At 40.5% G+C, this 24,002-nt stretch overlaps 1 protein-coding gene across 13 annotated transcripts in view, besides 1 other annotated feature; it reads right to left on the bottom strand.

Moving 5' to 3' along the window:
* The window catches only part of SCP2 (sterol carrier protein 2), a 124,423-nt gene that overhangs the window by 26,220 nt on the left and 74,201 nt on the right, over positions 1-24,002 (bottom strand). For 6 of the 13 annotated variants that reach the window (NM_002979.5, XM_005271103.5, NM_001193600.2 and 3 more), the window contains one exon: positions 10,436-10,589. In NM_002979.5, coding sequence (NP_002970.2) covers positions 10,436-10,589 — 154 coding nt within the window. Of the gene's footprint in view, positions 1-10,435; positions 10,590-17,463; positions 22,692-24,002 lie in introns of those variants that run through there. The other 7 variants (NM_001007099.3, NM_001007250.3, NM_001007100.3 and 4 more) reach the window with 5 other exon arrangements.
* Positions 10,579-10,668: an enhancer, noted in NCBI's record as "active region_1040". NCBI's record gives its function as "activates an Ori minimal core promoter by ATAC-STARR-seq in GM12878 lymphoblastoid cells {active_cell/tissue: GM12878}" and the evidence as "EXISTENCE:reporter gene assay evidence [ECO:0000049][PMID:35858748]".

Here is a 24,002-nt window from a genome sequence, read left to right as displayed (position 1 = left end):
AGTAAGTATACTATTTTATAAAACAAGAAAGCCATGGATATGAGAGTCTGGAGCTCAGTGGAGAGGGCCAGCTAGAGATAAAATGGAGAAATCATCAGCATAGTGAAAGCATTTAAATCCCTGGGCAGGGACTGTAACAGAATTATAGAGAAACAAGAGAGTCCAGCACAATGCCCTTTAGACCTCCATTACTCAGAGTCAGGGACAGAAGGGAAAGCAGCAGCCAGTGATGCAAGAGGAAAACCAGCATGGTGTCATAGGAGCCGGGAGCAAGATTCCAGGAGGGAGGGGCAAACTGTCAAATGCTGCCACAAGGTCAAGTATCCACTAGATGTGCACATGGAGAGTACAGATGACCTGACCTTGACAAAAGCAGTTTTCAGTGGAGGGTGGAAGTCAGATTATAGTGAATTGAAGAGTGAATAGAAGAGGGAAATAGACACAGCGTGGCTCTTTTGAGACATTAGTCTTAGTGGAACAGTAAAATGAGGTGGTCTCTGGAGAGGAATGTGGTGGTATCAAGGAAGAGTTGTGGGATTTTTTTGGTGGGGGGGATAAAGATGACATCTTTATTTTCACTAATCTCTTAAAGAAATGTAGCATTTCTGGGCAGGCGTGGTAGCTCACACCTGTAATCCCAGCACTTTGGGACGCCGAGGCAGGTGGATCACCTGAGGTCAGGAGTTCGAGACCAGCCTGGCCAACATAGTGAAACCCCGTCTCTACTAAAAATACAAAAATTAGCCGGGCATTGTGGTGTGCGCCTGTAAACTCAGCTACTCGGGAGTCTGAGGCAGGAGAATTCGCTTGAACCCAGGAGACAAAGGTTGCAGTGAGCAGAGATCATGCCACTGCACTCCAGCCTGGGCAACAGAGCAAGACTCCATCTCAAAAAAAAAAAGAAAAAAAAAGAAAGAAAGAAATGTAGCATTTCCTTCTGGATGTGGGCATATGAGAGTCCTATAACTTTTAAAAAATATTTTATTTTCCAATTTTTTATTATGTTAAAATACACATAAAATTTACCATCCTAACCATATTTAAGTGTTCAGTTTAGTAGTATTAAATACAGTCATAATGTTGTGCAACCATCATCACCTTTCATCTCCATAACTCTTTTCATCTTGCAAAACTGAAACTCTACCCATTAAAGAGTAACTCCTCACTCCCCCCTGCTTCCAACCCCTGGCAACCACCATTCTACTTTCTGTCTCTATAATTTTGAATACTCTAGGTACCTCTAGGTACTATGATTCTAAGTGGAATCATATAGTATTTGTCTTTTTGTGACTGACATATCACTTGGCATAATGTTCTCAAGGATCATCCATCTTGCAGCATGTCAGGATTTTCAAAAAGGCTGGGTTTCATTTTAAGATGAACAAATCAGAACAGGTATGCCTGATGATGGTAAGGAACCTGGAAAAAGGAGATGGAAGGAGAAAAATCTTGTGGCCTGTGACAGGACGAGGAGACTCAAGCGAAGAAAGAGGATCAGATGGGTGTAATTCTCGTGTAGTGGGTCTGTAGGTCTTGGATGGAAGTTGAGGAAGTTTGGGTTTAATGGCTTCTATTTCTCAACAAAGTATAAGGCAAAGTAATCAGCAGAGAGTGAGGGTGAAAGGAAGGGTGTGGAGAGTCTAAATTGAAAAGAGAGCCTACTAGAGGAATCATATTAATATATGAACAGGGAATGGAACCTCATCTCCAGCAAGCAGACTCTGTGCAGTCCTCGTTGCACAGAATGCCACCTCACACTTCTATGCCTTTGCCACTGCTGCTCCCTGGGTCCAGAATACCTCCATCTTAGCAAACTCCATTTCTCCCTTCGAGACCCAGCCCTTTCAGGAAACTACTTTTCTGTGAAACCCTACTAAATGTCAACGGCTTAAGAGCAGATACCATACCTTTTCTTTAAAAAAAATCTCTGTATTGCCAGTTCCCAGCAAATCATAAGCATTTAGTGAATAGTGACTGAATGGAACTGAAGTTACCCTGAATTCTCCCTTGCCTAACTCCTAATTCCTTCCTGTTCCATTCAGAGCAGAATTATCTATGGTACAGTATATCGTCTTGGTCAAAAGTCTGAATATGTGACCTAAAATCAAGTAGCCACAGCTAGTTCTCCACAAGCCAATTTCATTTCATTGGTCCAATTTTTCAGTTACTTTTAATCATCATTGTGCCCTTTTCCAAACTTGCCACATCTTGCATGTTCCCAAAGGTCACAGGTGTGTCTTTTATCTTGCTTGTTTTGAAAAGCTCATGAAGTTAGTGATGAACCAACTTTTCATCCAGATTAAAAGTTAATATGTAAAGTTTTATCAATGTTTTCTGAAAACCCCTCATTCCTTAAAATTTATATATGTGCCCTGCTCTAAGAAAACTGAATATATCAACTTAAACTCAGAGAGTATTCACATTCACAAAAGGATGTTCCTCATGATTTCTTTACATAAAAAGTTCTTTTATCAGAAACTAAATTCCAATTGGTTTTATTTTTTTAATTTGGTTTATATATGTTTCCTGGAATAAATCTAGTATATAAACATTGAAAGGAAACTTGAAGATAAAAACCAGCAAATAACCTACTCAGCATATGAATTCCCTCCATGATTCTTGAAAATTTTCATTCTAAGGCCTAAAACAGGCTCTGCTACAACAATGTCAAAGACTGAGAGCACAGAGTAGCCAGGAAAACAGAAGCACCGCACTCAGCTAGAACCTTGATTCCTACCACTCAAGGCTCTCTCTCCTTAGATAAGTTATTTTAACTCTGATCATCAATCTCATCTATAAACAGAAATACCTAATGTGTGGGACTTTTATGAGGATTAAACAAAGAAGTACATGTGAAACGCCTAGTGTGGTCCTGGCACATACCAGGCCCTCAAAAAGTGATTGTGAAAGAGCTCTCACAACTCAATAATTAAAATACAAAGACCCCAGTTTTCAAATGCCAAAGGATCTGAATAGGCTTTTCTCCAAAGAAGATATGCATATAGCCAATAAACATGAAAAGATGCTGATCATCAATAGCCATCAGGGAAATGCAAAGAACAATGAAATACCACTACACAACCACTAGGATGGCTAACACTAAAAAGATAGGTAACAAGAAGTAATGACAGAATGTGGAGAAATGGGAACCTTCAGCCATATAAAGGAATCAAGTACTGATATATGCCACAACATGGATGAATCTTGACAACATTATGCTAAATGAAAGAAGCCAGTCACCAAAGGCCATACAATGTATGATTTCATTTACATACAACGTCCATAACAGGCAAATCCATAGAGACAGAAAGTAGGTTAGTGTTTGCCAGAGACTGCAAGAAGGAGGGATTACTAATGGGTACACACTTTCTCTTGAGGTGACGAAAACGTTCTAAGATTAATTGCAGTAATGACTGCACAACTTTGTGATATGCTAAAAACCACTGAACGTACACTTAAAATGCGTGAATTGTGGGCATGTGAATTAGGTCTTAATAAAGTTATCTGAAATAATTTTTAAAAAATGGTTGATGAGGCCGGGCATGGTGGCTCATGCCTGTAATCCCAGCACTTTGGGAGTCCAAGGCAGGTGGATCACATGAGGCCAGGAGTTCAAGACCAGCCTGGAAAAAATGGCAAAACACCGTCTCTTCTAAAAATACAAAAATTAGCTGGGCCTGGTGGCCTATGACTGTAGTCCCAGCTACTCGGGAGTCTGAGGCACAAGAATCGCTTGAACCCAGGAGGCAGAGATTGTAGTGAGATGAGATCATACTGCTGCACTCCAGCCTGGGTGACAAGGCAAGACTCTGTCCCAAAAAAAAAAAAAAAAAGAAAGAAAAAGAAAAGGAAAGAAAAAGCCCGAGCTCGGTGGCTCATGCCTGTAATCCCAGCACTTTGGGAGGCCAAGGTGGGAGGATTACTTGAGGTCAGGAGTTCAAGACTAGCCTGGCCAACATGGGAAACCCCATCTCTACTAAAAATACAAAAATTAGCCAGCTAGGCCTGGTGGTGCGTGCCTGTAGTCCCAGCTACTCAAGAGGCTGAGGCAGGAGAATTGCTTGAACCCGGGAGGCAAAGGCTGCAGTGAGCCAAGATTGCGCAACTGCACTCCAGCCTGGGCGACAGAGCAAGACTCCATCTCAAAAAAAAAAAAAAAAAGTGGTTGACGGCCAGGCATGGTGGCTCATGCCTGTCATCTCAGCACTTTGGGAGGCCAAGGCAGGTGGATCACTTGAGCCCAAGAGTTCAAGACCAACCTGGGCGACATGGTGAAACCCTACCTCTACAAAAAAAATACAAAAATTAGCTGGGCATGACGGTGTGTGCCTGTGGTCCAAACTACTCAGGAGGCTGAGGTGGGAAGATTATCTGAGCCTGGGGAGGTCGAGGCTGCAGTAACCCAAGATAACACCACTGCAATCCAGCCTGGATGACAGAGTGAGACTCTGTCTAAAAAAAAAAGTGGTTGCTGTTATTCTTAGTGTTTGGGAAGATTATAAAGTCCTGCATTGTAATCAAACCTTCATCCCTAAAACGAAAATTTAACCAGTAATCAGTTTGTTCTGACTGGAGACGGTCGTACAGTACGCGTAAGTTTCAGGGAATATCAAGTTCATTTGTAATCAGCTACTCCCCATGACCTCAGAGCAGGCACATGGGTCCATCACACATAGAAATACAGCCCACAGAGTTGAGAGTTGGAAGACAAACAAAGAAACCTCATAGAGGTATGGTGGGAGATATGATAAGATCCTCTTTGGCCAAGCTGTAGGCTTCAATGAGTTGGATATGTTCCCCATACTGTACTAAAAATTTAAGTTCATTTTTTTCCTATACCCCTAAGTAATATTTATAATTAATAAATAAAACCATTTTCAGGCTGGGCACAGTGGCTCACACCTGTAATCCCAGCACTACTGGAGGCTGAGGTGGGCAGACTGCTTGACTCCAGGAGTCTGAGACCAGCCTGGGCAACATAGCAAAACCCTGTCTCTATAAAATTGAATTAAATTAAACTAAGATAAAACTATTTTTGACCTTTAACCAGTGACACAACTAGAGAAATAGGAAAGAAGAAAGGAAAATGCACTGGGAAATAAAAAACCAAAAGTTTATTGAGCAACTACAATGTGTGGCAGATATTTTTAATTTGTTATTTTCTGATCCCTAAAGTACATATTTTCAGTATTTTCTAAATAAGGAAAAGGCTAAATTAATATGCTCAAAGCCAGTAGTGTGATCAAAAAGTTGATTAAGGTACTCTTCCCACTGATCAAAACTGTCTCTGATGGCATGGCATGGTGGCTCATGTCTGTAATCCCAGCACTTTGGGAGGCCGAGGCAGGCAGATCACTTGAGTTCAGGAGTTCAAGACCAGCCTGGACAACATGGCAAAACTCCGTCTCTACTAAAAATACAAAAATTAGCCAGGCATGGTGGCATGCACCTGTAATCCCAGCTACTCAGGAGGCTTAGGCACAAGAATTGCATGAACCCAGGAGGTGGAAGTTGCAGTGAGCTGAGAATGTGCTACTGCGCTCCAGCCTAGATGACAGAGGGAGACTCTGTCTCAAAAAAACAAAAATCTGTCTCCGGTAACTCTAGTCTATAAAATTTAAAAAGTTGTCACATACAAGTGACATTTAACTAGTTTTATAAATTCCTCATTCTAACTGCTAACAAACTGGTGGCTACATGAGTATGGAAACAGATATACATCACATTAAGATTATTGCGTGCATTCCTTAAATATCTGTCTTAAAACAAAACTAAAGTAATGCTTGTGTGTGCTACTGCGCTTGCTGAAAAGGCCTAGAAGTAATAATAACAAGCACACAGCTAACAGCCATTTGTGGTTTCCATATACCATTCTCTACTAAAAGGAACCAGGACTCAGAGAAATGACTGATCCTAGGGCTGAGGCATGGAAAGCACAGGACGAGCCTGGAATATCTTCTTGCGCCAGAAAGTAAGGAACTACTAAAAGGAATCATAGGGAAAAATGAATCAACTTGATCAGGTTCCCACTGGCCAAATCAGGGGCATTTTGAAAATCAAAATAATTGATACCACTTTACTATAACCCAGTGAATACAATAAGAATTCATGAGTTTGTATGCATACATATATAAATATATGAATAAATTTTGAAATGGAAGACAAGGGAAAGCTCTTCTTTACAGAATAATGCCAGTTAATAAGTATAGAAAAAATGGTATCATCTCAAAGCATCTTGCTACAAATTACTTATTAATTACAAAGAAAAGAACAGCAACTTTTCAGAGGAAAACATGGTAGATGCCACATTAAGTGATTAAAGCTAACAACACCAATATGGGTTAAACAACCTCATGCACCTCCAGATATGATGCACCTAGAAGGACACAACATAATTTCATGCTGCAAAAAATGTATAATCTGAATCTAATTTGGGGAAACATTAGGCAATTGCAAACTGAGAAGCATTCTACTATTAAAGAATATACTTGCACTCTTCAAAAAAATCATGGTCAAGAAATACAAAGAAAGTCTGAGGGATCATTTCACATTAAAGGAAACTAAAGAGACATGACAGCTAAATGCATTTTTAGGGATTTCTCCTGACAGGGAGAAAAAATAAAGTTTAGAGTATATTTTATAAATATATTATTGGGACAGTTGTTGAACTGTGACTATGTTATTTGAATGAGTTCATAGTATTGTATCCATGTCTTTCTTTTTTCTTTTTTTTTTTTTGAAACAGAGTCTTGCTCTGTTGCCCAGGCTGGAGTTCAGTGGCATGATCTCAGCTCACCCCAACCTCTGCCTCCCAGGCTCAAGCGATTCTCATGCCACAGCCTCCTGAGTAGCTGGGACTACAGGCATGTGCTACCACGCCTGGCTAATTTTTGATTTTTAGTAGAGAGGGGGTTTCGCCATGTTGTCCAGGCTGGTCTCAAACTCCTGACCGCAAGCCATCCACTCGCCTCAGCCTCCCAAAGTGCTGGGATTACAGGCATGAGATACCACGCCCAACCCTGTTAAGTTTCTTGAGTTTTATAACTACTGTGGTTAAGCAAAAGAATATCATTGTTTCTACAATTACACACTGAAATATTTAGGGATAAAGAAGCATAACAACTCCACCTTTCTCTCAGATAGTTAAGAAAAAATGTATACAGATATAAATATATGTAGAGGAAAAATGATAAAGCAAATGGGCAAAATGTCAACAATTGGTAAATCTAGGTAGAAGGTATAAGGGAGTTCCTTGTATTATTCTTAGAATTTTTTCCTGTTTGTTTGTAACTACCTAACAGGTTCTAATTGAAAAAGAAATTCAGGCCAGGCGCAATGGTCCATGCCTGTAATCTCAGCACTTTGGGAGGCAGAGGCAGGTGGATTACCTGAGGTCAGGAGTTCAAGACCAGCCTGGCCAACATGGTGAAACCCTGTCTTTACTACAAATAGAAAAATAAGCCGGGCGTGGTAGTGAGCACCTGTAATCCCAGCTACTTGGGAGGCTGAGGCAAGAGAATCACTTGCACCTGGGAGGCGGAGGTTGCAGTGAGCCGAGATTGTGCCATTGCACTGCAGCCTGGGTGACAAGAGCCAAACTCTGTCTCAAAAAAGAAAAGAAAAAAGAAAATACGAACAAGTTAATCACCTGCAATGCTACTACTCCAACAATTTTTCTCTATCCATTTTTCTGTATTGCTTCTTGTTGTCTTTATTTATAGGCATGCATACAGTTGTAATCATTATATAGAAACAATTTTTACTTCTAATTTAACTTCTTATATGACTTAGGATCTTCAAATAGTACCCACTGGGTTAAACTTTCAAGCTAACTTAGTTTTCCATTAAAAAGAAAATGGGAATAATCCAAATATGCCTCAACCAAAGAATGGGTAAGCAACTAACACTTCCATACAATGGAATATTATTGAGCAATAAAAGGGGACAAATTACTGATACACACAATAACGTGGATGAATTTTAAAATGTGTAATACTAAGTGAAAGAAGCCAGACTCAAAGGCTTTTTGATTCCATTCACATGACACTCTGCAAAAAGGAGTACTACATGGGTGGAAAACAGATCAGTGGTTGCCAGAGGCTAGAAGAGAAGGAGAAGGGTTGACTACATGGGTGCACAAGGAACATTTTTGGGCAATAAAACTATTTTATATTTTGATTATGGTGGTAGTAATACGACTGTATGTTTATCAAAACTTGTGGAAATATAATACAAAGAATGAATTTTACTGTATGTAAATTATACCTTAATTTTAAAAAAAGAAATACAAAACAAAGTTGGGCTTTAAAAGGGGGTTTTATTTAACAGAATATAGAATACATACCTATTCTCAGTCTGTAGCACAAAAGCTCCTCTCTTACGTAAAATGAATAGGATGTTATAATACAAAGTTGATATTCATGTTCAAAACTGGTCTAAATTAAAGTTTAATTGTGAATTAAATGTAGTTGTTCACAGCCCTTAAATGTGACCTCTCCTCTTCATTGTTCACAGCCTGTGTTGCAACACTAAACATTTCTCCTCCACACTCCTACAACAGCTTCCTAAGCATTCCTGGCCTCTGGTCTCTCCACCACCAGCTCAAAGTAATGTCAGACTGATCTACCTAATGTGTAATATAGTCACATGATCTTTTGCTAAAGAATATCTTTCCATATTCTATAGGATAAATTCCAAACTCCTGAGCATTGCATCTGAATCATTTCAAAACCATAATCCCACTTTGTCCCTCTACCCAGGCACACACAAAATAATCTACTCTGTACCCACACAGCACAACCACTTGTCAAACCTCCTTGTATTTTCAAATTTCTATACCTATTGTACAGACTTGGAATGCCCTTCCCCTATACTTCTGTTGGGCAATCCTAGTCATCTCAGTTCAAATTTACTTTCTTCATAATAATTTCTTCCTCTGAGCTTCTACAGCATTTTGAAAAAAGTATGTTGCCTTCCCCATATATTTAGAGGACCATACAAGACTCTGTCTCAAAAAAGAAAAAAACCCCACAAAAACTTAAGATTCAATACTTTTTACTCCCATTCAATAAACATATGAGAGACTCCAGGAACAAGAGATGTAAGTCACAGTCTTAGGCCTCAAGGATTTCATATAATAAAGGGAATTAAAAACCGGATACAGTGCAACCAAACCAACTAGATAGTACCCAAAAACATACAAAGTGCTGTGGATATTCAAAAAGAGATGGTATTTGAGACGGGCTTTAAATTATAAGTTTTACAACAGAAATTATATTCTGGGCAGAGAAAGAGGAGAGGACAAGAGAAGAGATCCAAGAGCTTACAGAAGAATAACATAGACTCAATAAAAGAAGTGTGTCTCCATGTATACATATGCAACAAACCTGCAGGTTGTGCACATGAACCCTACAACTTAAAGTATAATAATAAAAAAAAAGAAGTGTGTCTCATATCCTTTGTTGGAGAAACAAAAAAGTGTGAATAAATGATTAAATAATTACCAAGAATTTCAAAAGAAAAAAGGGAGCCAATTAATGTCAAAAGCTACAGCCGGGTTAAAGAGAGTAAATAGGGAAAATAAAGACAAAGTTATTCAATTTCATTTAGATCCTGGTGGCCTTACCTGACACTGACCTCAGTGGTGAGGTAAAAATTAGACTGTGAGGTATTCCGGCTTGGAAAAATAAAGGTGGCTCAACATAAAAGGCTCATCATGAACAACAACAATTAAGGCAAGGAGAAAAAGAGATCTAAGGGAAGACCTGAACATGTATGCTGACAGAGGGAAAGGAGTCAATGGAAAGATAACCAAGTTACAGAAAGTGACTGGAAACAAAAGCATGGAACAAGGAAAGCTGAGCCTTTGACAGGAGGGGCGCTTTTTTCCTCTGGGGAGGAACATTTCTTTGAGAGATAAGCAAGGGAGTTGAGGGATCCTGAGTGGGATGCGAAAGAAAGTGCCTGCAAATTGAGGAGCATGGGCAGTTGAAGGAGAGGAAGAAAGTCAGCAAGAGACAAAAAGAATTCTAGCATCAACGAGGGCTTATTAGCTGGACTCGGAAATACAAATTTGCAAAGATCCAATCAGCACATTTAGTGACTCCCTAAACCACCTCAGAAGCCTGGAAGGCCATGAGGAGACCTGCCTAAATAACTTAGGTTGCTAGGGCCGAGACCCATACCCAGCTAGCTCAGGCTTCTAGTTCAGTACTCTCGTGACTATCCTGGGTCCTTTTTCAACAGAATTCACCTAAAGTTGGTTAAATTTAAAACCTGATGGCCACTTTTAAAGCCATGTTCTTAAAACAATGTAATGAGATACTTTTCCTTAAATACTAAGACAATAAAATAAGAAATTTTTACATGTAAAACATCATCAACTGTGAAAAGTCAGAAGGATTAACTGACACACAAAACTCTGAATGTCACTCACCTGGCGGCTTCCGGAAAACCCATCTTGTAGAGTGTTACAACCACAGCTCCTCCAATGCCTAAATTATGCTGCAGAGCCACCTTTGCACCAGGAACTTGCCTCTTTCCGGCTTCCCCTCTCAGCTGCCAGCAGAGTTCTGCACACTGAGCAAGACCTAACAAATCGAACACAGAGCACTGAGCTGCTTCCACCAGCTTTCTCAAGCCAGAAAAGGGATGTTTGTGACTTTAAATTAAAGCATTTGATTAAGCCGAGGCCACGTTTGTGTAAATAGTAACTTCTCTTAAAACACCGAAGGGTTTTGCAGCTAGTTATTTTCTCTCTAAATTTCTTTCCTGCACTCTTTCAACTTAACCTGTCGTTTTCTGGCATGTTGAAAGAGAAAACACCGAATCTACAATTCTCTAGTCCAGGGAAAATGGCATAAAAATAATTTAATTTTACCATTTTTAATGTATTAAAAGAAAATAAACAAGGATTTGGAAGTTCACATTCCCTAAAAGTTTAGCTGGTATGGGAAATTTTTCCTATTATTTTCCTCCAAGTAGTTCCCAACAACAATGAGTTGTTTTCCAGACCTATTCACAGATATTCACAAGAAAGGTTCTGGATTCAAAAGGATAACATTCTGTCCCCTGAATAATAAAATCAAAGATGTTTAGAGCTGAAAGGAACTTACTGATGTAAACACTGAGAAACAGAAAGGTTAATCTGTGAATGGTTACAAAGCAGGCTAATTTCAGAGGTAAGGTTAGAACCCATGACTCCAGATGTATATTTGTTTGCCTTTCTATCGGACCAGCTATTGAAGGAGAGCTGGGTTAAGAATGTTCTATCAGGGCCGGGCGCGGTGGCTCACGCCTGTAATCCCAGCACTTTGGGAGGCCGAGGAGGGCAGATCACGAGGTCAGGAGATCAAGACCATCCTGGCTAACACGGTGAAACCCCGTCTCTACTAAAAATACAAAAAAAAAAAAAAAATTAGCCGGGCGTGGTGGCAGGCGCCTCTAGTCCCAGCTACTAGGGAGGCTGAGGCAGGAGAATGGCGTGAACCCGGGAGGCAGAGCTTGCAGTGAGCTGAGATCGGGCCACTGCACTCCAGCCTGGGCGACAGAGCAAGACTCCGTCTCAAAAAAAAAAAAAAAAAAAAAAAAAAAAAAAGAATGTTCTATCAGGGCAGACTGGTCTGCAGGTCTACTACTTACAGTGCCTATTCTTCCATACACATCCCCAGCCACAACTTCCAATTCCTGAGTACCTGTGACAATTTCCTGTATAAACCCCAACTTCCCCAAGAAATTTAACTGCTGCTTTTCATTTCTAAGCAGTGTCTATATATTTACAGACCATGTATCTTAAACACTATTTAAAAATAGGTAGCTCCCAGTGTGGACAACATAGCAAGACCTCATCTCTACTAAAAATAAATTTATTTTATTTATTATGTTTGAGACAGAGTCTTGCTCTGTTGCCCAGGATAGAGTGCAGTGGCACGATCTTGGCTCACTGCAACCTCCACCTCCCAGGTTCCAGCGATTCTCCTGCCTCAGCCTCCCAAGTAGCTGGGACTCCAGGCATGCGCCACCACTCCCAGCTATTTTTTTTTTTTTTTTTTTTTTTTTAGTAGAGACGGGGTTTCACTATATTCGCCAGGCTGGTCTTGAACTCCTGACCTCGTGATCTGCCCACCTTGGCCTCCCCAAGTGCTGGGATTACAGGCATGAGCCACCGCACCCGGCCTAAAAATAAAATTTTTTTAAATCAGCCAGGCATGGGGACACATGTCTGTAGCCCTAGCTACTCAAGAGGCTGAGGAAGGAGGATGGCCTGAGCCCAGGAAGTCAAGGCTGCAGTGAGTTATAATCATGCCACTGCACTCCAGCAGGGCAAGATTATAGGGGGAGACCCTGTCTCAAAAAAAAAAAAAAAAAAAAAAAGGTAGCTCCACAACTGGTAATAACTTTTTGAATTGTGAACAATTTAGAAATTAATGAGGAAGGTCAAAGTGAAATGACTCTATTATACCCAAACTTGGGGGCAATCAGTTTTACTGGAAATCTGCCTTTATAAATGAATATGTAAGACAAAAAAGACAAAAAATATTCAAACTGGTCTTAGATACGCTGCTAGTTGTCTTCACAAAAGAACAGATGCAATTTACAACTATTTGAGAAAATACTCAATCTCACCATTGATAAAAATCAAATAGATACCATTTTACACCAATCAAATTGGTAAGAATATGTAAAAATGGGAATAATCAATGCAGGGGAAACTATGGCAAGATAGCCACCTCTATACAGAACTGGTCAAAGTTTAAACCAGGACAACCTTTTTGGAAAGCAATGTACAAAGTTATGAAGAGTCTTTAAAATGCCTTCAAAACCATTCCATGGAAATAATCAAATGTAGGGAAAGTTTTACACACAAAGCTATCTGTTCATCATACTGTTATAACAGTGAAAAACTAGATAATCTAGAAGTGAAGTAACTGGGGAATGGTTACGTAGAGAGGGGCAAAGGGAGCAAATGCTCCTTGGCCCTCTGAAGGTTTCCTGAAAAATCAACTTGTAAAAGTCAGATTAATTAGAGAAAGGGTATACAAATTTATTTAACATGTATACATAGGAGCATTCAGAATAAAGACCCAAAGATACAGGGGAAGTTGTCCATTTTATGCTTAAGTTCAACAAAGTATGGAACAGCCCTATAGAAATATGATTGGACAAAAAGCATATGATCTAATGCTAATAGACTGAGTGGGGAAACCCAGCCAGGCCTGTCCATCTAGGTTCTTCTTGGCCTCTCTGAGCACGCATTCCTTCCTTCTGGGCGTGGGGCAGGTCCCTTTCTGGAATGGGGGTCTTATGACCCCCAGTCAAACAAGATAGGTCAGATAATTTCTTTATGGCTAGTTTTTACACAGAAAGGTGAAGGGAAGTTATAGTAGTATTCTAGGTTTTATGACTGGCTTTGGGGAAAAGGGGTTATGGCTTTCATGATCTGCCTTGAGGAAGAGGGATTCTAGTTTCTACGGCTGGCCTTGGTGGGGAGAATGGGACTGAGAGACAGGAGGCCAGGAGAAGGCCAGAGAAAAATTTTTGCTTCTGAGGCTTTTATTTTGGTGTATTGTTTTCTAAGCCCTAACGGTGATGTAAATTAAAAGCTAGATGTAAATAGAAAAAGCAAGCTGTTTTTCCTTTCTACTCAACATACTCACAGCACACTTCTGTGACTAGATGTCGGAAAGGTGAGGGCTTCCCCCAAATAGCAAATCGATTCTTTTACAGATACCGATGAGGTATTCTGTAATTCATTTCAATTCTAACACTATTTACCTGGAGATAGTGTCAGATCCCATGGGTTGAGGGCTGAGTCCCACCAGGCTGTTCATACTTCAGATGCCAAATGCAAGTCCAAGCCACCTGTACTTCCAACCAACTGGTTACAAAACATCATCTTGCTGCAAACATTTCCTAACAAGATGTTGGTCAACCTTTTTACATGAAAGTAACTGACCTAGGACTCAGCTACATACATAAGGGTATACAATCTGGTTGCTTCTAAAAATAAACCATTCGAACATGTATCAAACACTCTACCAAATGTTAAAGATAACAGAGGATTCACAGTGTAATGTAAATGCAAAGTGCTAACAAAGATAAGGACGTTAAGTGCTATGAATAGACACAGAATGGAAAAGCTATAGGAGATAACATTTTGAGTTATTCTCTGAGGTCTTTTCCTCCTTCTCCTTGAACGTATAAACCTTCCTATACTATCAAGACAGCCAAGTACAATAAAGTCATAATCCGGCTTTAGTTTCAAATTAGACATTTAAATGCTTTTCCAAAAACAACATTAAAAAGCATGGTTTTCTACTATCAGAGCCTGAATTTTTGAGGAAGAAAAGGCTTGTTGAGCTTCAAACAGCAAAAAGTTTTCATAGACTCAGCATACACTGAAGAATGTATATTTATAATAGAGCAGTTTTTCTCTCCAAAAGATATAAAATTTGTCACGCACGTCCATGTGAAGAGACCACCCAACAGGCTTTGTGTGAGCAACAAGGCTGTTTATTTCACCTGGGTGCAGGCGGGCTGAGTCTGAAAAAGGAGTCAGCAAAAGGTGGTGGGATTATCATTAGTTCTTATAGGTTTTGGGAGAGATGGTGGAGTTAGGAGCAATTTTTTGTGGGCAGGGGGTGAATCTCACAAAGTACATTCTCAAGGGCAGGGAGAATACTACAAAGTACCTTTTTTTATTGTTATACTTTAAGTTCTAGGGTCCATGTGCACAATGTGCAGCTTTGTTACATATATATACATGTGCCATGTTGGTGTGCTGCACCCATTAACTCGTCATTTATATTAGGTATATCTCCTAATGCTATCCCTTCCCCCTTCCCCCACCCAACGACAGACCCCAGTGTGTGATGTTCCCCACCATGTGTCCAAGTGTTCTCATTGTTCAATTCCCACCTATGAGTGAGAACATGTGGTGTTTGGTTTTCTGTCCTTCCGACAGTTTGCTCAGAATGATGGTTTCCAGCTTCATCCATGTCCCTACAAAGGACATGAACTCATCCTTTTTTATGGCTGCATAGTATTCCGTGGTGTATATGTGCCACATTTTCTTAATCCACTATATCATTGATGGACATTTGGGTTGGTTCCAAGTCTTTGCTATTGTGAATAGTGCCACAATAAACATACGTGTGCATGTGTCTTTATAGCAGCATGATTTATAATCCTTTGGGTATATACCCAGTAATGGGATGGCTGGGTCAAATGCTATTTCTAGTTCTAGATCCCTGAGGAATTGCCACACTGTCTTCCACAATGGTTGAACTAGTTTACAGTCCCACCAACAGTGTAAAAGTGTTCCTAGTTCTCCACATCCTCTCCAGCACCTGTTGTTTCCTGACTTTTTAATGATCACCATTCTAACTGGTGTGAGATGGTATCTCATTGTGGTTTTGATTTGCATTTCTCTGATGGCCAGTGATGATGAGCATTTTTTCATGTGTCTGTTGGCTGCATAAATATCTTCTTTTGAGGAGTGTCTGTTCATATCCTTCTCCCGCTTTTTGATGGGGTTGTTTGATTTTTTCTTGTAAATTTGTTTAAGTTCTTTGTAGATTCTGGATATTAGCCCTTTCTCAGATAGGTAGGTTGCAAAAATTTTCTCCCATTCTGTAGGTTGCCTGTGTACTCTGATGGTAGTTTCTTTTGCTGTGCAGAAGCTCTTCAGTTTAATTAGATCCCATTTGTCAATTTTGGCTTTTGTTGCCATTGCTTTTGGTGTTTTAGTCATGAAGTCCTTGCCCATGCCTATGGCCTGAATGGTATTGCCTAGGTTTTCTTCTAGGGTTTTTATGGTTTTAGGTCTAACATTTAAGTCTTTAATCCATCTTGAATTAATTTTTGTATAAGGTGTAAGGAAGGGATCCAGTTTCAGCTTTCTACATATGGCTAGCCAGTTTTCCCAGCACCGTTTACTAAATAGGGAATCCTTCCCCCATTTCTTGTTTTTGTCAGGTTTGTCAAAGATCAGATGGTTGTAGATGTGTGGTATTATTTCTCAGGGCTCTGTTCTGTTCCATTGGTCTATATCTCTGTTTTGATACCAGTACCATGCTGTTTTGGTTACTGTAGCCTTGTAGTATAGTTTGAAGTCAGGTAGCGTGATGCCTCCAGCTTTGTTCTTTTGGCTTAGGATTGTCTTGGCAATGCGGCCTCTTTTTTGGTTTCATATTAACTTTAAAGTAGTTTTTTCCAATTCTGTGAAGAAGGTCATTGGTAACTTGATGGGGATGGCACTGAATCTATAAATTACCTTGGGCAGTACGGCCATTTTCACGATATTCATTCTTCCTACCCATGAGCATGGAATGTTCTTCCATTTGTTTGTGTCCTCTTTTATTTCGTTGAGCAGTGGTTTGTAGTTCTCCTTGAAGGGGTCCTTCACATCCCTTGTAAGTTGGATTCCTAGGTATTTTATTCTCTTTGAAGCAATTGTGAATGGGAGTTCACTCATGATTTGGCTGTTTGTCTGTTATTGGTGTATAGGAATGCTTGTGATTTTTGCACATTGATTTTGTACCCTGAGACTTTGCTGAAGTTGCTTATCAGCTTAAGGAGATTTTGGGCTAAGACGATGGGGTTTGCTAAATATACAATCATGTCATCTGCAAACAGAGACAATTTGACTTCCTCTTTTCCGAATTGAATACCCTTTATTTCTTTCTCCTGCCTGATTGCCTTGGCCAGAATTTCCAACACTATGTTGAATAGGAGTGGTGAGAGAGGGCATTCCTGTCTTGTGCCAGTTTGCAAAGGGAATGCTTCCAGTTTTGGCCCATTCAGTATGATATTGGCTGTGGGTTTGTCATAAATAGCTCTTATTATTTTGAGATATGTCCAATCAATACCTAGTTTATTGAGAGTTTTTAGCATGATGGGCTGTTGAATTTTGTCAAAGGCCTTTTCTGCATCTATTGAGATAATCATGTGGTTTTTGTGTTTGGTTCTGTTTATATGATGGATTACATTTATTAATTTGCATATGTTGAACCAGCCTTGAATCCCAGGGATGAAGCCAACTTGATCGTGGTGGATAAGCTTTTTGATGTGTTGCTGGATTTGGTTTGCCAGTATTTTATTGAGGACTTTTGCATCAATGTTCATCAGGGATATTGGTCTAAAATTCTCTTTTTTTGTTATGTCTCTGCCAGGCTTTGGTATCAGGATGATGCTGGCCTCATAAATTGAGTTAGGGAGGATTCCCTCTTTTTCTATTGATTGGAATAGTTTCAGAAGGAATGGTACCAGCTCCTCTTTGTGCCTCTGGTAGAATTCGGCTGTGAATCCGTCTGGTCCTGGACTTTTTTTGGTTGGTAGGCTATTAATTATTGCCTCAATTTCAAAGCCTGTTATTGGTCTATTCAGGGATTCAACTTCTTCCTCGTTTAGTCTTAGGAGGGTGTATGTGTCCAGGAATTTATCCATTTCTTCTAGATTTTCTAGTTTATTTGAGTAGAGGTGTTTATAGTATTATCTGATGGTAGTTTGTATTTCTGTGGTATCGGTGGTGATATCCCCTTTATCATTTTTTATTGCATCTATTTGATTCTTCTCTCTTTTCTTCTGTATTAGTCTTGCTAGCGGTCTATCAATTTTGTTGATCGCTTCAAAAAACCAGCTCCTGGATTCATTGATTTTTTGAAGGGTTTTTTTGTGTCTCTATCCCCTTCAGTTCTGCTCTGATCTTAGTTATTTCTTGCCTTCTGCTAGCTTTTGAATGTGTTTGCTCTTGCTTCTCTAGTTCTTTTAATTGTGATGTTAGGGTGTCAATTTTAGATCTTTCCTGCTTTCTCTTGTGTACATTTAGTGCTATAAATTTCCCTCTACACACTGCTTTAAATGTTTCCCAGAGATTCTGGTATGTTGTGTCTTTGTTCTCATTGGCTTCAAAGAACATCTTTATTTCTTCCTTCATTTCATTATGTACCCAGTAGTCATTCAGGAGCAGGCTGTTCAGTTTCCATGTAGTTGAGCGGTTTTGAGTGAGTTTCTTAATCCTGAGTTCTAGTTTGATTGCACTATGGTCTGAGAGACAGTTTGTTATAATTTCTGTTCTTTTACATTTGCTGAGGAGTGCTTTACTTCCAACTACATGGTCAATTTTGGAATAAGTGTGATGTGGTGCTGAGAAGAATATATATTCTGTTGATTTGGGGTGGAGAGTTCTGTAGATGTCTATTAAGGCCACTTGGTGCAGAGCTGAGTTCAAGTCCTGGATATCCTTGTTAACTTTCTCTCTCGTTGATCTAATGTTGACAGTGGGGTATTAAAGTCTCCCATTATTATTGTGTGGGAGTCTAATTCTCTTTGTAGGTCTCTAAGGACTTGCTTTATGAATCCGGGTGCTCCTGTATTGGGTGAATATATATTTAGGATAGTTATCTCTTCTTGTTGAATTGATCCCTTTATCATTATGTAATGGCCTTCTTTGTCTCTTTTGATCTTTGTCGGTTTAAAGTCTGTTTTATCAGAGACTAGGATTGCAACCCCTGCTTTTTTTTGTTTTCCATTTGCTTGGTAGATCTTCCTCCATCCCTTTATTTTGAGCCTATGTGTGTCTCTGCACGTGAGATGGGTCTCCTGAATACAGCACACTGATGGGTCTTGACTCTTTATCCAATTTGCCAGTCTGTGTCTTTTAATTGGAGCATTTAGCCCATTTACATTTAAGGTTAATATTGTTATGTGTGAATTTGATCCTGGTCATTATGATGTTAGCTGGTTATTTTGCTCATTAGTTGATGCAGTTTCTTCCTAGCATCAATGATCTTTACAATTTGGCATGTTTTTTCAGTGGCTGGTACCAGTTGTTCCTTTCCATGTTTAGTACTTCCTTCAGGAGCTCTTGTAAGGCAGGCCTGGTGGTGACAAAATCTCTCAGCATTTGCCTGTGTGTAAAGGATTTTATTTCTCCTTCACTTATGAAGCTTAGTTTGGCTGGATATGAAATTTTGGGTTGAAAATTCTTTTCTTTAAGAATGTTGAATATTGGCCCCCACTCTCTTCTGGCTTGTAGAGTTTCTGCCGAGAGATCCGCTGTTAGTCTGTTGGGCTTCCCTTTGTGGGTAACCCGACCTTTCTCTGTGGCTGCCCTTAATATTTTTTCCTTCATTTCAACTTTAGTGAATCTGACAATTACGTGTCTTGGAGTTGCTCTTCTCGAGGAGTATCTTTGTGGCGTTCTATGTATTTCCTGAATTTGAATGTTGGCCTGCCTTGCTAGGTTGGGGAAGTTCTCCTGGATAATATCCTGAAGAGTGTTTTCCAACTTGGTTCCATTCTCCCCCTCACTTTCAGGTACACCAGTCAGACGTAGATTTGGTCTTTTCACATAGTCCCATATTTCTTGGAGGCTTTGTTCATTTCTTTTTATTCTTTTTTCTCTGAACTTCTCTTCTCACTTCATTTCATTCATTTGATCTTCAATCACTGATACCCTTTCTTCCACTTGATCAAATCGGCTACTGAAGCTTTGGCATGTGTCACATAGTTCTTGTGCCATGGTTTTCAGCTCCATCAGGTCATTTAAGGTCTTCTCTATGCTGTTTATTCTAATTAGCCATTCGTCTAATCTTTTTTTCAAGGTTTTTAGCTTCTTTGCGATGGGTTTGAACATCCTCCTTTAGCTCAGAGAAGTTTGTTATTACCGATCATCTGAAGCCTTCTTCTCTCAACTCATCAAAGTCACTCTGCGTCCAAATTTGTTCCATTGCTGGTGAGGAGCTGTGCTCCTTTGGAGGGAAGAGGCACTCTGATTTTTAGAATTTTCAGCTTTTCTGCTCTAGTTTCTCCTCATCTTTGTGGATTTATCTACCTTTGGTCTTTGATGATGGTGACGTACAGATGGGGTTTTGGTGTGAATGTCCTTTCTGTTTGTTAATTTTCCTTCTAACAGTCAGGACCCTCAGCTGCAGGTCTGTTGGAGTTTGCTGGAGGTCCACTCCAGACCCTGTTTGCCTGGGTATCACCAGCGGAGACTGCAGAACACCAAATATTGCAGAACAGCAAATGTTGCTGCCTGATCCTTCCCTTGGATGCTTCATCTCAGAGGGACACCCGGCTGTATGAGGTGTTGGTCAGCCCCTACTGGGAGGTGTCTCCCAGTTAGGCTACTCGGGGGTCAGGGACCCACTTAAGGCAATCTGTTCATTCTCAGATCTCAAACTCCATGCTGGGAGAACCATTACTCTCTTCAAAGCTGTCAGACAGGGACGTTTAAGTCTGCAGAAGTTTCTGCTGCCTTTTGTTCAGCTATGCCCTGCCCCAAGAAGTGGAGTCTACAGAGGCAGGCGGGCCTCGTTGAGCTGCGATGGGCTCCACCCAGTTCAAGCTTCCCAGCCACTTTGTTTACCTACTCAAGCCTCAGCAAAGGCGGATGCCCCTCCCCAAGCCTCGCTGTCACCTTGCAGTTTAATCTCAGACTGCTGTGCTAGCAGCAAGCGAGGCTCCATGGGTGTGGGACCCTCCAAGCCAGGCATGGGATATAATCTCCTGGTGTGCCATTTGCTAAGACCATTGGAAAAGCGCAGTATTAGGGTGGGAGTGTCCCAATTTTCCAGGTACCATCTGTCACGGCTTCCCTTGGCTAGGAAAGGGAATTCCCCAACCTCTTGCACTTCCCGGGTGAGGCAATGCCCTGCCCTGCTTCAGCTCATACTCCGTGGACTGCACCCACTGTCCGACAAGCCCCAGTGAGATGAACCTGGTACCTCAGTTGGAAATGCAGAAATCACCCATCTTCTGCGTCACTCACGCTGGGAGCTGTAGACTGGAGCTGCTCCTATTTGGCCATCTTGGAACCTTCTTAAAGGCAGGGAGGGTATACCCTACAAAGTACATTCACAAGGGCGGTGAATATCACAAAATACATTATCGCAAGGGTGGGGAGGATGTATTGTCACAAAGTCAATTGATCAGTTAGAGTGGGGCAGGAACAGATCACAATGGTGGCATGTCATCAGTTAAGGCAGGAACTGACTATTTTCACTTCTTTTGTGGATCTTCAGTTGCTTCAGGCCATCTGGATGTATACGTGCAGGTCACAGGGGATATGATGGCTTAGCTTGGGCTCAGAGGCCTGACAAAATTATCTATCACATGTAAAATATATTTCAAAAAAAAGTAAAATACAGTAGTGCCCTCACATCCATGGTTTCACTTTCCACAGTTTCAGTTACCCTCAGTCGATTACAGTCTAAAAATATTGAATAGAAAATGCCAGAAATAAACAATTCATAAGTTTTAAGTTGCATGCTGTTCTGAGTAGCATGATAAAATCTCGCACCATTCAGCTCCACCCCACCTGGGATGTGAATCATCCCTTTGCCCAGCATATCCAAGTGGTACATCCCACCCACCCGTTAGTCAGTTAGTAGCTATCTTTGTTATTAGAATGACTGTGATGGGTACTGTGATGGGTACTGCTCGTGTTCAAGTCATCCTTAGTTTACTTAATGATGGCCCCAAAGCGCAAGAGGAGTGAAGTGGCGATTCAGATGTGCATACAAGTGCTTCCTTTAAATGAAAAGGTGGAAGTTCCCAACTTTAAGGGAAAAAAATGGCATGCTGAGGTTGCTAAGATCTACAGTAACAATGAATTTTCTATCCGTGAAATTGTGAAGAAAGAAAAAGGGGCTGGGTGTGGTGACTCACGCCTGTAATCCCAGCTTTTGGGGAGGCCAAGGAGAGAGGACCACTTGAGCCCAGGAGTTTGAGACCAGCCTGGGAAGCATAGGGAGACCCCATCTCTACAAAAGAAAAAATAAAATAAAATTAGCTGGGCATGATGGTGTGCACCTGTGGTCCCAGCTACTTGGGAGACTGAGGCGGGAGGATCACTTGAGCCCAGGAAGTAGAGACTGCAGTAAGCATGTTTGCACCATGTTTGCACTGCACTTCAGCCTGGGCAACAGAGGAAGACTCTATCTCAAAAAAAGAAAAAGAAGGCATGATGGCTCATGCCTATAATCTCAGCACTTTGGAAAGCCAACATGGGCAGATTGCTTTATCCCAGGAGTTCGAGACCAGCCTAAGCAACATGGCGAAAGCCCGTCTCTACCAAAAATGTAAAAAATTAGCCAGGTATGAAGGTGCGTGCCTGCAGTCCCAACTACTTGGGAGACTGAGATAGTAGAATCATTTGAGCCCAAGAAATCGAGGCTACAATGAGCCATGATCATGCCACTGCACTCCAGCCAGAGCAACAGAGCGAAATCCTGGTTTCAAAAATAAAAAAAGAAAAGAAATAGAAACAGAAATTCAGGGCTTTCTCCTAGTTATCTCTAGCTAGCAACAGGTATCTAGAGTAGACACCATCTCCTGGGCTCCATTTGTCCTGGCACAGATAGAGTTTAATGATAAAATTTACCTCTCCTCACATTGCAGTGGTAAAAATGCAAAACTCTGGGCAATGGAAACAAGGATGGGTGGCCTGGAGGATATGATGAAAGGTAAAAAAGAAATTTTGGTGAAAAGCTAATTAGCTCTTACTGACTTGCTGGCTTTTTAAGAGTTTATATTGGATTTAGGCCTTACCAGTCATCGTCCTAGGATTTATTTTGGCAACCTCTTACAGAGTAGACGAGATAAGCCATGGTTTGATTTGAAAATGCTCGGTCCCTTGGTTAAAATTCCACTTCTTCTCACATCATTTTCACCCAAATTCTTAAGACCTAAGAAGTTTATAATGCCTTTAAAAGTACTGAAACATGTAAACAAAAATCACAGGATAGAATAATAATATACGTGTCATTAGAAACATCAAGAACTATGTGAATGCAGAAAAAGAAATAATTACTTCGCACAGGAGATCAGAGCATCTTATAATAGAATTGAAAAGGATCTATGAATTCATCAAATCTAAGGCCCAACAGATGGGCAAAATTCTCCTTACAACATTCCTATCAAGTTGTTACATGTATTTTTTGTGCACAGCCTCTCTGACAGGTAAATGCATGCTCTCAGGAGGCAACCTATTCCATTTTTGAGAAGCCATGTTAGAAAGTTCTCTTGTATCCGGCCAAAATATAACTTCCAATGAATTCTTCCTAATGATCCTAATTCTTCCCACATTAAACAAATGTATTCCCTTTGCTCCATGCCACGTTCTAGATGTTAAAGGAGCAATAATATATTCAACTATCCCTTTAAATATGCAATGTATTGCACACTGTTCAAGGTAGAGAGACAAATGAAATATGAATCCTGACTTCATAGGCTCTTAAATAGGGAAGATATTTTTTTCTTTTTTCTTTCTTTGTTTTTTTTTTTTTTGAGACGGAGTCTCACTCTGTCACCCAGGCTGGAGTGCAGTGGCGTGATCTCGGCTCACTGCAAGCTCCGCCGCCTCCCAGGCTCACGCCATTCTCCTGCCTCAGCCTCCTGAGTAGCTGGGACTACAGGCGCCTGCCACCACACCCAGCTAATTTTTTGAATTTTTAGTAGAGACGGGGTTTCACCATGTTAGCCAGGATGGTCTCGATCTCCTGACCTCATGATCCACCCATCTTGGCCTCCCAAAGTGCTGGGATTACAGGCATGAGCCACCGCACCCAGCCTAAATAGGGAAGATTTTTTTAAAGCCTATAAATAATGATAATATATACTATGAGCATAAATGTCAAAAGAAAAGTACTGAGAAAGTATAGGAGTTCAGAAAAGGGAAAGATTAATTCAATCTATGGAAAGAATCAGTGAAACAGGAAAAGCTTCATAAGGTGGATAGCATTTGAGAGAGCACTTGAAGATGGGCGTTTCCAGTGAGGAAAGGACACTGAAGAACAGTATAATGGTTAAGACCCTGGACGCTAGGAATACATAGCCTGTGTTTGAATCTTAGCTTTGCCACTCTCTAGCTTGATGACTTCATGCAAATCATTTAAACTCTCCATGCCTCTATTTTCTTCTTTTGTAAAAGAGAAAAATCGATATGAAAATTGAATGCACTTGTACATGAAGTATACTTAGAACAGTGTATTATTATT

The sequence above is a fragment of the Homo sapiens genome, chromosome 1 (genome assembly GCF_000001405.40).
Source record: "Homo sapiens chromosome 1, GRCh38.p14 Primary Assembly".
In the NCBI taxonomy this organism is placed as follows: domain Eukaryota; kingdom Metazoa; phylum Chordata; class Mammalia; order Primates; family Hominidae; genus Homo; species Homo sapiens.
Note: the sequence above shows the minus strand (reverse complement) of the source record. Positions and strands in the feature narration are given on the sequence as shown.